At 45.0% G+C, this 15,416-nt stretch overlaps 1 protein-coding gene and 1 long non-coding RNA gene across 3 annotated transcripts in view, besides 4 other annotated features; one reads left to right on the forward strand and one right to left on the reverse strand.

Annotated features, from left to right (window-relative positions):
* DYNC1LI1 (dynein cytoplasmic 1 light intermediate chain 1) overlaps window positions 1–5,805 on the reverse strand; it is a 44,885-nt gene extending 39,080 nt beyond the window's left edge. For both annotated transcript variants that reach the window (NM_001329135.2, NM_016141.4), the window contains exons 1-2: window positions 5,572–5,805; window positions 5,293–5,366 (exon numbers count right to left, since the gene is read on the reverse strand). In NM_001329135.2, coding sequence (NP_001316064.1) covers window positions 5,293–5,366; window positions 5,572–5,717 — 220 coding nt within the window. In that variant the 5' untranslated portion in view covers window positions 5,718–5,805. The remainder of the gene's footprint in view (window positions 1–5,292; window positions 5,367–5,571) is intronic.
* Window positions 5,013–5,798: an enhancer, noted in NCBI's record as "H3K27ac hESC enhancer chr3:32611558-32612343 (GRCh37/hg19 assembly coordinates)". NCBI's record gives its function as "activates a minimal SCP1, AML or CMV promoter by ChIP-STARR-seq in naive H9 embryonic stem cells {active_cell/tissue: H9 hESC(naive)}" and the evidence as "EXISTENCE:reporter gene assay evidence [ECO:0000049][PMID:30033119]".
* Window positions 5,013–6,002: a biological region, named in NCBI's record as "H3K27ac hESC enhancer GRCh37_chr3:32611558-32612343".
* Window positions 5,073–5,562: a silencer, noted in NCBI's record as "silent region_14175". NCBI's record gives its function as "represses an Ori minimal core promoter by ATAC-STARR-seq in GM12878 lymphoblastoid cells {active_cell/tissue: GM12878}" and the evidence as "EXISTENCE:reporter gene assay evidence [ECO:0000049][PMID:35858748]".
* Window positions 5,743–6,002: a silencer, noted in NCBI's record as "silent region_14176". NCBI's record gives its function as "represses an Ori minimal core promoter by ATAC-STARR-seq in GM12878 lymphoblastoid cells {active_cell/tissue: GM12878}" and the evidence as "EXISTENCE:reporter gene assay evidence [ECO:0000049][PMID:35858748]".
* Window positions 13,655–14,556, forward strand: LOC124906226 (uncharacterized). Its single transcript, XR_007095860.1, has 2 exons — window positions 13,655–13,692; window positions 13,939–14,556. It is a non-coding gene; the product is annotated as an uncharacterized LOC124906226 (long non-coding RNA).
* The last annotated feature ends 860 nt before the right edge of the window (window positions 14,557–15,416 follow it).

Genomic DNA, 15,416 nt, shown 5'->3' on the forward strand with positions numbered 1-15,416 from the left:
ACCGTGGACTAATACCTTCAGAGAACAATATAGCAACTTTACATTTCTTTCCGGGGTGGAATTAAATGGCCCACATCTATATTAATTAATTAAAACCCAATTTCAATATGCCTTAAAACATTTCTTTAAAAATATTCAATAACTCACAAGATTAAAATAAGAAAATTTATAAAATGTCAGATCAAATAAGGCTTTGGAGATCATTAAATTCAAATAGCCGGATTTACAGATGAGAAAGATGAGGCTTATATGACTTGACAAAGGACCACCTAGTTTTCATTAATTCACACTGACAGCAAATCAAAAAGTTACACTGAAGTCCTATCTAAAAACCAGTCACTGTGCTTGGGACCAGGATTACATATGTACCTTTGTTGACAATGAATTCAATTAATCTAAATAAGTGTTATTGCTTGCACTAAAAGATACACACTGAGAAGAATCAGATAAAATTCCTTAATAACTGCTAAGCATCCTCTTACTTACAAGGAAAGCTCTTTTCCTTTAGGGAGATTCTATAGATTAAGAGTACTAGCTCGGGGAGCTAGGCTGCACAATTTTTCTTTCTTTTTTTTGAGACAGAGTTTCACTCGTCACCCAGGCTGGAGTGCAATGGCGCCATCTTGGCTCACTGCAACCTCTGCCTCCCTGGTTCAAGCGAGTCTCCTGCCTCAGCCTCCTGAGTAGCTGGGACTACAGGAGCCACCACTATGTCTGGCTAATTTTTGTATTTTTAGTAGAGACTGGGTTTCACCATATTGGCCAGGCTGGTCTCGAACTCTTGACCTCAGGTGATCCACCCCCTCAGCCTCCTAAAGTGCTAGGATTATAGGCAGGAGCCATGGGGCCGGCCTCAGGCTGCAAAATTTTGAATACTGATTTTACCTCCTGGCTATGTAACCCTAGGACAATTTACTTAACATTTCTGTTTCTGGCCGGGTGTGGTAGCTCACCCCTGTAATCCCAATACTTTGGGAGACTGAGGTGAGAGAAGGACTGCTTGAGCCCAGGAGTTCAAGACCAGCTTGGGCAACACGGTGAGACCTCATCTCTCCAAAAAGTACAAAAACTGGCTAGGAGTGGTGACACGCACCTGTAGTCCCAGCTACTTAGGAGGCTGAGGCAGGAGGACGGTTTGAGCCCAGGAGGCAGAGGTTGCAGTGAGCCGAGATTATGCCACTACGCTCCAGCCTGGGTGACAGAGTAAGACCCTGCCTCAAAAATAAAAATTCTGTGTCTGTTTCCTGATCTTTAAGGGGATAGAGTATGTAAACAATCCTTACATGACTAGTACCTGTAAGTGCTCTATGTTAGGTATTATTATTTATTTTCCTTAGGGAGTTTTCTTATCAAAACATGGGAAAGTAATCAATATGGAGAAACTGCCTTTAAAGGCAGCTATTAAAATACAAATATGCCCAGCGCAGTGGCTCACGCGGCACTTTGGGAGGCCAAGGCGGGTAGATCACCTGAGGTCAGGAGTTCGAGACCAGCCTGACCAACATGGAGAAACTGTCTCTACTAAAAATACAAAATTAGCCAGGTGTGGTGGCACATGCCTGTAATCCCAGCTACGCAGGAGGCTGAGGCAGGAGAATCGCTTGAACCTAGGAGGTGGAGGTTGCAGTGAGCCGAAATCTTGCCATTACACTCTAGCCGGGGCAACAAGAGTGAAACTCCATCTCAAAAACAAACAAACAAACAAACAAAAAAACAAATATAATCAATTGTATTAAAAGTAATTAAATATAAAAGGTAAAAATGAAAATGCAGTTCTTAAAAAAACAATTTAGAGGTTAGAACCTACTTAAAATACATGTGCAAGAAGTCCTACCTTTATTAAAAACAAATCTTAATGAAATCCATTCTCAAAACCTTTCAAGAAAGAAGAGTTAATATCATAGACTTTTTGGATTTCATTAGAAGTCAGGCCTAGGCAGATTAAATGATTACTTAAACACAAGTGCCATTGCAACAGCTGCATCCCAGAATCCAATAAATATTTGGATTTTCCTTTAAAATAATTACCAGTACTTTTGTTCAAAGACAGGCTTTGAGTAGAAAGAGTTTTGTACCTGGCACTCTCTCCCTTGCAGGAACTTCTATCAAGTTAGAAATCCATGCCAGAGTCACAGAACAGGGCCCTTATGTTGTGTGACCTTGGAAAATCCACTTAACAGGTCTCTACAATTCATTACCCCATCTATAAATTGGTGCCCTGATCAGGGAGGAGAGAGGAGGTGAAATGAGATTTGTATGAAAATCCTTTGACAATGGCTCTTACACATACACACGTTACTACACATACATGACCCTTTACTCCCATCAGGTTGTAGGAGGAGAGAGAATGTGGCAAGCTAAACTGCAATTTGTGTGTGTTGTGAGGGGAGTACTTAGGGCTATATCATTGTTCCTATTCTAGGTTGTTTCTGAAATGTAAAGCCTTGTCATAGGCTCAGATTTGGTTTTTTATTTTATTTATTATTATTATTATTATTATTTTGAGACAGGGTCTCACTCTGTTGCCCAGGCTGGAGTGCAATGGCGTAATCTCAGCTCACTGCAACTTCTGCCTCCAGGGCTCAAGTTGTCCCTCCACCTTAGCCTCCTGAGTAGCTGAGACTACAGGCATGCACCATCATACCCGGCCTTTTTTTTTTTTTTTTTTGAGACAGAGTCTCGCTCTGTCACCCAGGCTGGAGTGCAGTGGCACGATCTTGGCTCACTGCAACCTCCGCCTCCCGGGCTCAAGCAATTCTCCTGCCTCAGCCTCCCGAGTAACTGGGATTACAGGTGTGTGCCACCATGCCCAGCTAATTTTTGTATTTGTAGTAGAGATGGGGTTTCACCATATTGACCAGGCTGGTCTCTAACTCCTAACTTCAGGTGATCCGCTCACCTAGGCCTCCTAAAGTCTGGGATTACAGGCAGGAGCTGCCGTGCCAGGCCAATTTTTTTATTTTTTGTAGACATGGGGTTTCACCATACTACCCAGGCTGGTCTCCAACTCCTGAGCTCAAACGATCCACCCCTCGGCCTCCCAAAATGCTGGGATTACAGGCGTGGGCCACTGTGCCTGGCCTTAGATTTGTTTTTTTAAATAAGAGACTCCAGAGACCACTTGCATTCATGAAAGATGTATTAGGGTCAAGCATCCTCCTGCCTAGCACCTTCAAACTCATAACAAAGAAAACCACAATCCCTATTTGGTATTTCTTTCCTCCACCAGCACAGAGTGAATGCTGCCATATGTGACGGTGAAATGTCTGTAAGAAATCTTCAGGGGTATTTTAGAAAGTTAACTCTATTTTTGTAACCAGTATACAAATCAGTTATTAGCTCCTTCCAAAGCTGAAAAGGACTCTCTGATGAAAATCCCAATAGTACTGAAAGAAAAATATTAAATTTCAAGCTCATATTACCTGATATTAGATGCACTTTATGAACTATTAAGTTCATAAAAAAGGAAATTTAATCTATTCTTGTATGGTGGAGTGAAGGAGGCTGGGACCTCTAAGAACACTCAGTCCCATGCACAGACCCAGTGTCAAAGGGGTGTTAAAAAAAAAATGGCACAACCTCAGTGCAAATTAGGTATACCAAAAAATGAACAAAACTGCCACTTTTGTTTTACCATAAACAGAATCATCTACACAATATCTAATGTGCAGAAATAACTGGACAAAATGTATAAAATAAGAACAAAACTACTGAATCTTACCTTTACCATGACAGTGTTTCCAAATATTTAATTAAAATAGAATCAATTTCAATGAGGTCATATGAGCTTAAATCCATTTTACCTTAGAAATGAGTAGTAATTTGTTTAAATTAGTAAACTAAAAATATATTATACAATTTTTTTTTGCTTTTGGATCCTAATTTATTTTTGCCCTATGAATATCACTTATGTAGGCACTAATTCAATTTTTTAAAAAGTTCTGATCACAAATATTTTCTAATGCAGTTTAAGATAAATCCATGACAAAGTATCACTTGCAAATATTACCACGATACAAACATTAACTCATTTGATTCCCGCCACAACCCTAGAGGCAAGTATTATTATTTCTATAACAACCATTTTAAAGATGAAGAAACTGAGGTTTATAGATGTCAAGCAACTTGCTTAAGATCCTAGGGCTTATATGTGATAGGGCAGTGACTCAATCCAGGCTAATCTTCAGTAGGTGCTTTCAACCACATTAAAAACAAGGGTAAAAACTAATTTTTCAACTAGCTCCATGTAGCTTTAAAGAATATCAATAATCATATATTCTTGCTTGGCAGCAGTCTATTAAAAAAGTAATTTTTTCTATGTAAACATTCATATTTAACCACGCAGCCTATCAAGTAGTATTTGACTTCTTGTTTCCTGTTTTTAGATGGATATAACCAAAACAACAACAACAACAACAAAAAACTCTGGTATTGAGCCGACACCAAATACCAAAGTTTTTAAATTTAATCATCGTATAAGCCAAACTTCAGTTATCTCGCATGTAAAGAGCTATATAGAGAAATTTCTCCTATAAATGATTCAGGAGCTAAGCCTAGAAAAATGCGAATCTGCGAACTATTCTCCCTCAGTCCTCTATCCCCACCCCCAGAGTCACTAAAGAAACAGAATACACAACTTCCAGAGAGCCGAGGAGATACAGAACAATCAGGAGAACTGACACTGGACCGTTTCTCCTTATTACATCCATTTGGCTGAAAAGACTTAACTAGAAAGTTGTGTTCTACTGCCCTTTACAAATTTCAGAATTATATGTGACAGTTAAGGTAGCTGCAACACGAGCACATTGTACCAGAGAACGCTGAATCAAGAACATTTATCGCCAGGTCTTAGTTCTAGCTTCTGTCAATTATACAAAGAGTCAGCTATTAAATATTAATGGCATGCCATTTGCGCTGCAGCTCTCGCAAAGAGCCTCCTGCTACCAATTTTTGTGATGAAAGAAAACCTGTCATTTTCTAGATAAACCCCAGGCCACGAGAATCCCTCAGATGAGCGATCGAATTCTGTCCTTCCCAGGGGAAGCTGTCAGGGCCACCCCCATATACCGGGGAGGAGGAGGAGGAACCTGAGGGAGGGCGGGTCCCCGCAGGTCCTGGGTCAAGGGTCTCGTGTTCCCCTTCTCTCCCAGCCATCCGCGACAGGTCGGGAGGCGAGGCGGGGCGGGGCTGGGCCGGCTGTCCGCACAAAGAGAGCCAGCGAGCTAGCCCGCGGACCAGGTACCCCGGGCCGCTGGGGGCCGGGCGGGGCGGGGCGAGGCAGGGAACACTTACCCAGCAGTAGCACGTTCTTCCCCGCAGGGAGCTTGGAGCGCGAGCGGGTGGAGACCTCGCTGAGGATGCAGGACCTAACGGGAAGCAAGGCGTACGGTGAGGCCGGAGGCCGGAGCCGCAGCGCGGGAGGGACGGACCCGGCCTCGGCGCGCCGGGGATGGGGCTGCCGGGAACGCAGTGGCCGGGCCCGGCGCCGAGCTCCAGCGGGCACGGGATCCCGAGGCGTCCGCGCAAGGCCGGGGGAGCCAGCGGGGGCTGAGGGAGAGGTGGAGTCGTTACCAAAGGTTCTGCCCGTCCTCGTCGTCGCCTGCCGCGGCGCCACCGTTGCCCGACGCTATCTCGTTGCCCAAGGGGCCGCCAGTGTAAGTCGAGGATAATCCCGGCGGAGAAGAACCGAAGGAGCCGACTCGCCCCACGGCCGCCATCTTGGTCGGGAATCACACCACTCCCGGCAAGACTAAATGTGCGAGGCGGCTGAGGCGGTGGCGGTGGAGGCGGCGGGAACCCGGATATGGGGCGTTCAGCGCACGGGAGCGGGGCGGGGCCTGCGGGGGCGGGGCCCCGGGCCGGGCCAGGACTGATGGAGCGAGCGAGAACGGACTGCGCGTGCGTGGCTGCCTGGCCGGCGCTGAGGGGCTGAGCGTACGCGGGCGGCGGGGTGGGCCGCTATGCTGCAACTGAAGCCCAGTGATCTGACAGTATGGAAGTGCTTTCCTTCCGCTCATCCGCGGCCCTGGGCTGCGGCAGGGGGGTTGGGTGTGTCAGGTGAAAAGTGCTCCCTCCCACCCTTCAGACAGGTCCCCAAACCCTGCGGCCTGCGCGGAATTCCTGCATTGTCATTGCCGGCCCACCCACTGTTCAGGCTGAGAGCGGTCCCCCGCCCAAACCGGCGCTTCGCCGGCGCCAAGATAGAAATGGGTCGCCCGGCTGGTAAAGAGGCTGCCCTGCAACCCTGGGCTGGAGTATTGCTGTGGTCCTGGATTTCTGGACTTTATTTGCGTTCTCAAGTGGCGAAGTGTTCCTCAACCTGGACCCACATCAGAAGCAGGTTCTCCGAGCCCCTAAGCAGCGGCGTGACAAAGTAATTGTTTACCCTGGAAATAGACTGTTATTTTTTAAAAATTATTGTCAGGGCTTGCTTTAATGTTCTTAATGTTTTTGTATGAGATCCTCCATGTGAGATTTGAAAAGATCCACTATGCGGGTCATCTAACCGGTCACTAGACATTGATTCCACACTTACTACGTCGAGCACAGTTGACACTGGGAATACATGGATGGACTTATACTAGCCCTAAAATAACTCCTTTTCTATTAGAACTTTACTAGGTAAAGGTATTTGAATGTCTGAACTCCATGTTTAGAAGGAGTCATTGGTTTTAAGGCTCTGTCCTAGTACACCTGTAAGAGCATTTGCTTAAAATTGCCTGGCCTTTGTATGTTATCTCTGTCACTTCATATTTGAAAATCACTTGCTAGAATATGGCCTGATCAATGCTGTTATGCTAGTGAGAAAATCCACAACTAAAGACTATTTGCTATATATTAGCATTACGGTTAGAAGTCTGGAAGCCTTTGGAGGCTGGCAAATCTGAGTTCAGGTCTAGCTCTTCGAGTTTACTGGCTGTGTAACCTTAGGCAATTTACTTAACCTCCGTGAGTCTCAGTTTCCTTATCTGTCAAATGAGGATAAAAGAACTTAGAGTTGTTATTGAGATTAAACGGGATGATTCATGTAAAATGGCTTAGAATAACGACTGGCAAATCTTAAGCGCTTACCACATGTTAATTGTTATCAATGACTTTCTTTACCTTTCACACCATTAATATCTGACCAACCTCTAGAAGTGATGGGCCTAAAGAACTCTTGGAGCTAAAATTCTTTGTCACCTGTAATGCCAGCGCTTTGGGAGGCCAAGGCAGGCAGATTGCTTAAGCCCAGGAGTTCTTGACCAGCCTGGGCAACATGGCGAAACCCCGGCTCTACAAAAAATTAGCCAAGCGTGGTGGTGTGTGCCTATAGTCCCAGCTATTTAGGAGGCTGAGGTGGGAGGATCACCTGAGTCCAGGAGGTCGAGGCTGCAGTGAACTGTGATCATGCCACTGCAATCCAGCCTGGATGACAGAGCAAGACCCTGTCACTAAATAAATAAATAAATAAATAAAATAAAACTTTTGATTTTGTTGTTTATATACTTAAGAAAGGAACCAGAACCCTCCCCAGTAGTCCTACACTTTCTGTGGCACAAAGCAGGATGGAGACCCCCAGGAGAAGCTGAGTCTTTATGTTACTGTTCTAAAGGAGAGCTGTATACTGCTCTTGGCCCCTCTGAAAGCCATTTTACTCTGTACTTTATTCTTTCAGTCATCTTCCTCAGAGCATTTTCCCCTCAATTTTGTTGTCAGTTCCATATCATATTTGCTTAGTCTGAGAAGTGTTTACTTTTATAATAGTGTCAGGCTTCAACACCTCATGACTTCCAGATGCTCAACTACCCACCTAAATTGAGGTCAAAGTTGTATTCCTTGTGGTTTTATAATATCCCTATCCAGCATTCTTCCATTAAGGTGGCTGACAAAAGTGGTCATTTATGAATGCCTACTATGTGCCAGGCACTCTGTGTGTTGTATTTGCAATCCTCATACTTTGTAAGGGTCAGCAAAATTAAGTAACCTACCCCAGGTCACACAGATCAGAAGTTTATAGATAAGCTGAGATTTTTTACTGTCTAGTCTGTAAAATGACCTAGGCCAAACCATGTTAAAATAAATGTCCTCGTAATTTTAGATGCTATTCTGGTAAATACCTTCTGTGAAAACCTCTACATTACAAAAATAGGGAAGCTATATATTATGAGGAAGTCTATAAAAGGAAATAATTCATCAGTCCCTTGGAATTTTTGTTGCATAAATGCTGTTTTATAATTGACCTGTTTTCTATACTATGATTGCTTTTTCTTTATTGCCCAATGTTTTCTTACATCTAAAATTAATAACCATCTTGTTTTTCTTTTTTCTTTTTTTTTTTTTTTTTTTTGAGACGGAGTCTTGCTCCATCGCCTAGGCTGGAGTGCATTGGTGCGATCTCGGCTCACTGCAACCTCCGCCTTCTGGGTTCAAGCAATTCTCCTGTCTCAGCCTCCCGAGTAGCTGGGACTACAGGTGCCTGCCAACACACCTGGCTAATTTTTGTATTTTTAGTAGAAACGGCGTTTCACCTTGTTGGTCAGCCTAGTCTCAAACTCCTGACCTCAGGTGATCCACCCGCCTTGGCCTCCCAAAGTGCTGGGATTACAGGCGTGAGCCACTGCGCCCGGCCAACCATCTTCTTTTTCATTTGCTTAGATTTCCATGTCTTTAATTCAGTTTCAAATTCCCGTCCCAGCTGTGTAAAACTCCTTGTTAGGTATTTTAACAATTTTACCTTCTTAAAGACACCTTTAAGAACCTTCTAGCCTGCTCCATTCTGAGTTGGTTATTCTGAAACTGAATACACAGCTGTCATCCTGTGATCTTTCACCATTGTTCAGAAGATTCCCTTTGCCTCAATCTTGTGTCTTCTTGTTTTAGTGGAGAACTTCCCCCAATAGTTTTCTGATAAAAAGGCTCACTGGTAAGTCTTTGGACACCAGTGTATCCAGTCAAGGTCAACCAGAGGAAAAATGGCATTCTTAAGGGGGTGCTAGAGGAAAGCTTAATAAAGGGACTGTTTACAAAGGTGTGAACAGTGTGAAGAGATAGGACTAGCAACAGCAGGAAGCCTTAGGCTTGAAAGGGATAGAGGAAGGAATGTTTACTAGAATCCAGAGAGAGATGCAGCTTATAGGAAAGTGTTGCCCACCAAGATTTATAGTCTTCAGTAAAGGAACACAGTATCCATCCCTTTCTTTCTGCCCCCTGGTCTCCCACCAGTGTTGCCCTTTGACCAAACCCAACCAGGAGCCAGAGGACAAGAGACCCAAGTGAAGCAATCCATGCAGGTCTACCTCCCTGAGCACAAAGTGGGAATAGAGAAGGATCTCAAGGGGCAAACAAGATATCTAGCACACCTCCTGTGTTTGAAAATGCATTTAATCTACCCTCACTTAATAATAGTTTGGTTAAGTATAGAATTCTTGAGTTACAAGCTATCTTCCCTTAGGTTTTTAAAGCCTTGGCCCCCTTATCTGTTAGATTCTAGTGTTACCATTGAGAAATCCAAAGCCATTCTGATTTCTAAATCTTTGTTATGTGTTCTTTTTTCTCCTTATTGGAATCCTTTGCAACTTCTACAAATTCCCACTAACACATCTATCCCCCTTCCATTATTTGCACTTTCATACTCTTCCCTCCTGCTAAGTATCGAAAGAATAATCCATACTCTTATACTAAAGCATTCTCTATGCACTAGAACCCATCTCCTATCCTCAACTCAATGACATTGTTCCAACAATTATTCCCTTTCTCTATATAATCATTTTTTATTTCCACTAGATTATTGCCATTAACATACAAACATACTATTGATTCTCTAATTTTAAAAAAAAGAAAGAAACATTTCCCTGAACCCCATTCCTTCACCAGCTACTACTACATATCTTTCCTTTTATTTGAGGGTCTCCCTCTGTCTCCCAGGCTGGAGTGCAGTGGTGCAATCTCGGCTCACTGCAACCACCGCCTCCGGGATTCAAGCTATTCTCCTGCCTCAGCCTTCTGGGTAGCTGGGATTACAGGTGCACACCACCACACCTGGCTAATTTTTGTATTAGAGACAGGGTTTCACCTGTTGGCCAGGCAGGTCTTGAACTCCTGATCACAAGAGATCTGCCCTCCTCAGCCTCCCAAAGTGCTGGGATTACAAGTGTGAGCTACCACGCCGGGCCTCTTTCCTTTCTTTGCCATCAAAACTCTTTAAAAGAATTGTCTCTCTATGCTATCTTAAATTCCTCTTCCCCCTTGCCCTTATGGCTCACTTCAATCAGGCTTTTACCCCTATGACTCTACAGAAACTGCTCTTACCCTTGTCAATGACCCCCTTATTGCTTAATACAATGGTACACTCTTTATCCTTGTCTTTGTTGACCTATCAACAACACAGGATACAGTTGCTCATTCCTTCTGGATATCCTTCATGTCGCTGCCAGGTCACCATGTTCTCTTTGTGTTTTTCCTCCCTTGGTAGCTGTTCCTTCCCAGTCTCCTTTTCTTTACTCATTTTTCTGACTGCTATGTGTTCAAGGACCCCAGGACTCAGTCTTTGTTCCTCTTCTCTCTCTTGGACTCAGTCTTTGTTCCTCTTCTCTCTCTACACTCACTCCCTTGGTGATGTCATCCAGTCTAACTACTTTAAATTCCATCTATATGATAAAGACTTCTAAATTTATTGCTCCAGCCCAGAGCTCCATCTGGAACTCCAAGTTAATATAGCCAACTGCCTATTCCACATCTCCACTTCAATATCTAATAGATATCTCAAACTCAACATGCCCCAAACTGAACTTCTGTCCTATGGGAACAAAGTATCTTCTACCTATGGCTTTCCCCATTGGGTAGCAACTCCTTGTTTCTTTGTTGCTTAGGCCCAAAACCTGAGTCATGCTTGACTTCTCTATTTGTCTCACACCACACATTGAATCCATGAGGAATCCTGTTGTCTCTACCTTCAAAATATACCCACAATCCAACTTCTTACCGCACTTCCCCTGATACCCTTTGACCTGAGCTATCATTTCTTGCCTAAATTCTGTAAAAGGCTCTTCAACATAACATCTAGAGTGATCCTTTAAGAATGTAAGTGAGACCACGTCACTTCTATGCTCAAAACCCAACAGTGGCTCCTCATTTCAGTCGGAGGAAAAGACAAAGATGTTACAATGACCCATAACGCCATGCAGGATCTGGCCCCACCGCCTCTCTGACTTTATCCGTTCCACTCTTCCCTTCAATTTCCCCCTTTCAGCCACATCAGCCCCACTGCTGTTTCTTGAATCTGTTGTGTGTCTCTTTGCTTTGAGGCCTTCGTTCTAGCTGTTCCTTCTGTTTTGAAGGAGGTGAGGAGCTGTCCATCCCAGTATCTTCCCCCAGGTAGCCAGTTGGCCAACTCCCTCTTCTCCTGCAGTGAGTGTGCTCCATTCTCAACTTCTCAGTGAGGTCTATCCTGACCTCTCCATTTAACATTGCACTCTGGCCCTTCACCTCTGAAATTCCAGATTCTCCTTACCTTGCTGTCCTTTTTGTTCTCCATAGCACTTATTATCGTCTAACATGGTATAGGATTTACTTGTTTAGTAGAACTCAAGCTCTGTGAGGGCAAGGATCTTTATCTTCTTCAGTAATGTATCCCAAGCACTTAGTACCTGGAACATAGCAGGCCTTCTGTAAAGATTTGCTGAAGATATGAATAAATGAATGAACCTACTTGTTACCAGTGTTCCAAAATTTTAGAATGGGGGGTGTGTGTGTGGGCACGTGTGCACATGCTTGTGTGTGTGTGTTTAAGAGAAGAAGATAAAAATTCTTCATTCTAACACCTGAAAGCAGGAGCTCTCTTTTATGATATTTTAACCATTAAATTAATTTATTTAGAGACAGGGTCTTTCTCTGTTGCTCAGGCTGGAGTGCTGTGGGACAATCATGGCTCACTGTAATTTTGAGCCCTGGGGCTTAAGTGAACCTCCTGCCTCAGCCTCCTGAGTAGCTAGGACTATACCTGTGTGCCACCATGTTCCAGCTCATTTTTTTTTTAGACAAGGTCACACTATCATCCAGGCTGGAATGCAGTGACCTGATCTCAGCTTACCGCAACCTCGACCTCCTGGACTCAAGTGATCCTCCCACCTCAGCCTCCTGAGTAACTGGGACTACAGGTGCAAGCCACCACGCCCAGCTAATTTTCAAAGTTTTTATAGAGACAGGGTTTTGCTTTGTTACCCAGGCTGATTTTTGTTTGTTTGTTTTGTTTTGTTTTGTTTTGTTTTGGTAGAGAGAAGTTCTCACTATGTTACCCAGGCTTGTCTCAAACTCCTGGACTCAAGCCATCTTCCTGTCTTAGCCTCTCAAAGCACTGGGATTACAAACATGAGCCATCACACCCAGCCTTAACCATTTTAAAAATATAAATCACTTAAAAGTATATTACACACCCCACTCCTTTCCTATTTTAACAAGTTATATAAATATAGATTTATGTTTTCCTGAAGGCCCTTGGCTTCCTTAGGCTCATCAATAATACTACCGTGTTAAATCTGGGAAGTGCTTAGGTCCTACTGGGATTCCCCGGGTGTATCCCAGATGGCTCTGCCTTTTAGTTTGGTTTCTAATTCAGCTGAGACTCAGGGCTTGTAAGTGGGAAATGGAACACTAGCCAAAAGTGAGACAGCTCCTCCTCTCTCCAGCTTCCTGTCTCCCAAGAGCTACACGTCTCTCCTCTCTGCTTGCTTCTCTTCTCTCCTCTCTCTCTGTCGACCAGCGTCCTCTGCAAACTCATCAGCTTTCTCAAGGTCACATTGGGTATTTCTCTATCTCAAGAAAAGTGATCACTGGACAGACACAAGAGCTCTGCAGAAAACTAGTTTGACTGGGAGGGGAACTTTCCGTAGGTCTGGAGGTGGGTACTGCAGAACCACTTCCTCTTTCTTTTGGGGATGCCTCCTTCTCTGTTTGGGAACCAAAACAAGGCAGCTACCACTTGGGCTGCTTCCTATTATATCAGTTCCACAGGCTGCCACAAGCAGATTTTCAAATAAAACCTGCTTCACCCATGGTGCCAAATGCTGGCAGTCACAGTTGATATAAATGCTGGCTGAAAAGCCAAAATCAAAAGAAAAAGGAAGTAAGCAAGATGAGTGGACCCTTAAAGTTTCACTCTGAGCAATTCAAATGATAGCGTTGAAAAGGACTTCAGAGTTTAAATAGTCCCATCCTCTACACAATATGTGAATCTTTTTTTTTGGTAACATTCCTGACATTTGAGACAAACTGATAATGCTAGAATTTGCAGAGTCCTTGCTAGCCGTCTCTCCCAGCAGACCCAACCAGGGATCCCATTAAAGACGAGCAAACACCCACGGTTGCTTATATTTGCTTTCCTTTGAGTCATGTTTTTCTCATTCTAAGTACCTCCTTAGAATGAATGAAATGATGGGTATCTAATTCATTTTGCAGTCACCAGCCCCTCTAATTACAGACCTATCCTTCCTCTTGCTTCTCACCTAGGGATTTTTATCAAGTGGACCCTCACAGAACATCATATCTTAGTGAGAGGTGACAGCGTGCTGGCAGCTCTCGCTCGCTCTCGGCACCTCCTCTGCCTGGACTCCCACTTTGGTGGCACTTGAGGAGCCCTTCAGCCCACCGCTGCACTGTAGGAGCCCCCTTCTGGGCTGGCCAAGGCCGGAGCTGGCTCCCTCAGCTTGCAGGGAGGTATGGAGGGAGAGGCGCGAGCGGGAACCGGGGCTGCGCGCAGCGCTTGCAGGCCAGCTGGAGTTCCGGGTGGGCGTGGGCTTGGCGGGCCCCGCACTCGGAGCAGCCGGCCGGCCCTGCTGGCCGGGCAATGAGGGGCTTAGCACCTGGGCCAGCGGCTGCGGAGGGTGTGCTGGGTCCCCCAGCAGTGCCGGCCCACCGGCGCTGTGCTTGATTTCTCGCCGGTCCTTAGCTGCCTTCTCTCAGGGCAGGCCTCGGGACCTGCCGCCCACCATGCCTGAGCCTCCCCGACGAGCGCTGCCCCCTGCTCCCCGACGCCCAGTCCCATCGACCACCCAAGGGCTGAGGAGTGAAGGCGCAGGCGCAGGACTGGCAGGCAGCTCCACCTGCGGCCCCAGTGGGGGATCCACTGGGTGAAGCCAGCTGGGCTCCTGAGTCTGGTGGGGATTTGGAGAACATTTATGTCTAGCTAAGGGATTGTAAATACACCAATTGGCACTCTGTATCTAGCTCAAAGTTTGTAAACACACCAATCAGCACCCTGTGTCTAGCTCAGGGTTTGTGAATGCACCAATGGACACTCTGTATCTAGCTAATCTAGTGGGGGGCCTGGAGAACTTTTGTATCTAGCTCGGGGATTGTAAATGCACCAATCAGCAGCCTGTCAAAACAGACCAATCAGCTCTCTGTAAAACAGACCAATCAGCTCTCTGTAAAATGGACCAATCAGCAGGATGTGGGTGGGGCCAGATAAGAGAATAAAAGCAGGCTGCCCAAGCCTGTAGTGGTAACCCACTCGGGTTTGATTGCCTACTGGGGAAGGTTTGTTTTTTCCTTCTTTGCAATAAATGTTGTTGTTGCTCACTTTTTGGGTGCGTGCTGTGTTTATGAACTGTAACACTTACTGCGGAGGTTTACAGCTTCCTTTCTGAAGTCAGTGAGACCGTGAACCCAGCAGAAGGAGGAAACTGTCTCAGCATCCGAATGTCACAACGAGCAAATCCACGTGCGGCGCCTTTATGAGCTGTAACACTCACTGTGAGGGTCCACGGCTTCTTTAAGTCAGTGAGACGAAGAACCTGTCAATTCCAGACACATCAGCACAGAGAGATGGAGAAATACCTAAAAGAAAGTAGAAATAGACTCTTTTAACGTGTTTGTTTTTTCAGAGAAACCGCCAGAAAGTGCCCGGGGCAGTGGCTGTCGCCTGTAATTCCAGCACTTTGGGAAGCAGGAAAGGGCAGATCACTTGTGGCCAGGAGTTCAAGGACAACTTAGCCAACACTGTGAAACCCCATTTCTACCAACAATACAAAAATTAGCCAGACATACTGGGGCATGCCTGTAATCTCAGCTACTCAGGAAGCTGAGGCAGGAGAATCGCTTGAGCCTGGCAGGTGGAGGCTGCAGTGAGTCAAGATCAAACCAGTGCACTCCAGCCTGGGCAACAAAGCGAGACTGCACCTTAAAAAAAAAAAAATGCTTTTATTTTTACGTCTAATGTGAAATCCCACCTTTCTTAAAAAAAAAAAAAAAGTACTGGTAGGTGTATGTGTGCATGCAAGTATACTTTAGGACAAAATTTTACAAAGAAATATTTTTTTGTTTGGTTGTGGTTTGTGTTTTTGAGATGGAGTTTCACTCTTGTCATCCAGGCTGGAGTGCAACAGCTCGCTCTCGGCTAACTGCAAACTCCGCCTCCCGAATTTAAGCAATTCTCCTGT

This window comes from Homo sapiens, chromosome 3 (genome assembly GCF_000001405.40).
Source record: "Homo sapiens chromosome 3, GRCh38.p14 Primary Assembly".
Classification (NCBI taxonomy): domain Eukaryota; kingdom Metazoa; phylum Chordata; class Mammalia; order Primates; family Hominidae; genus Homo; species Homo sapiens.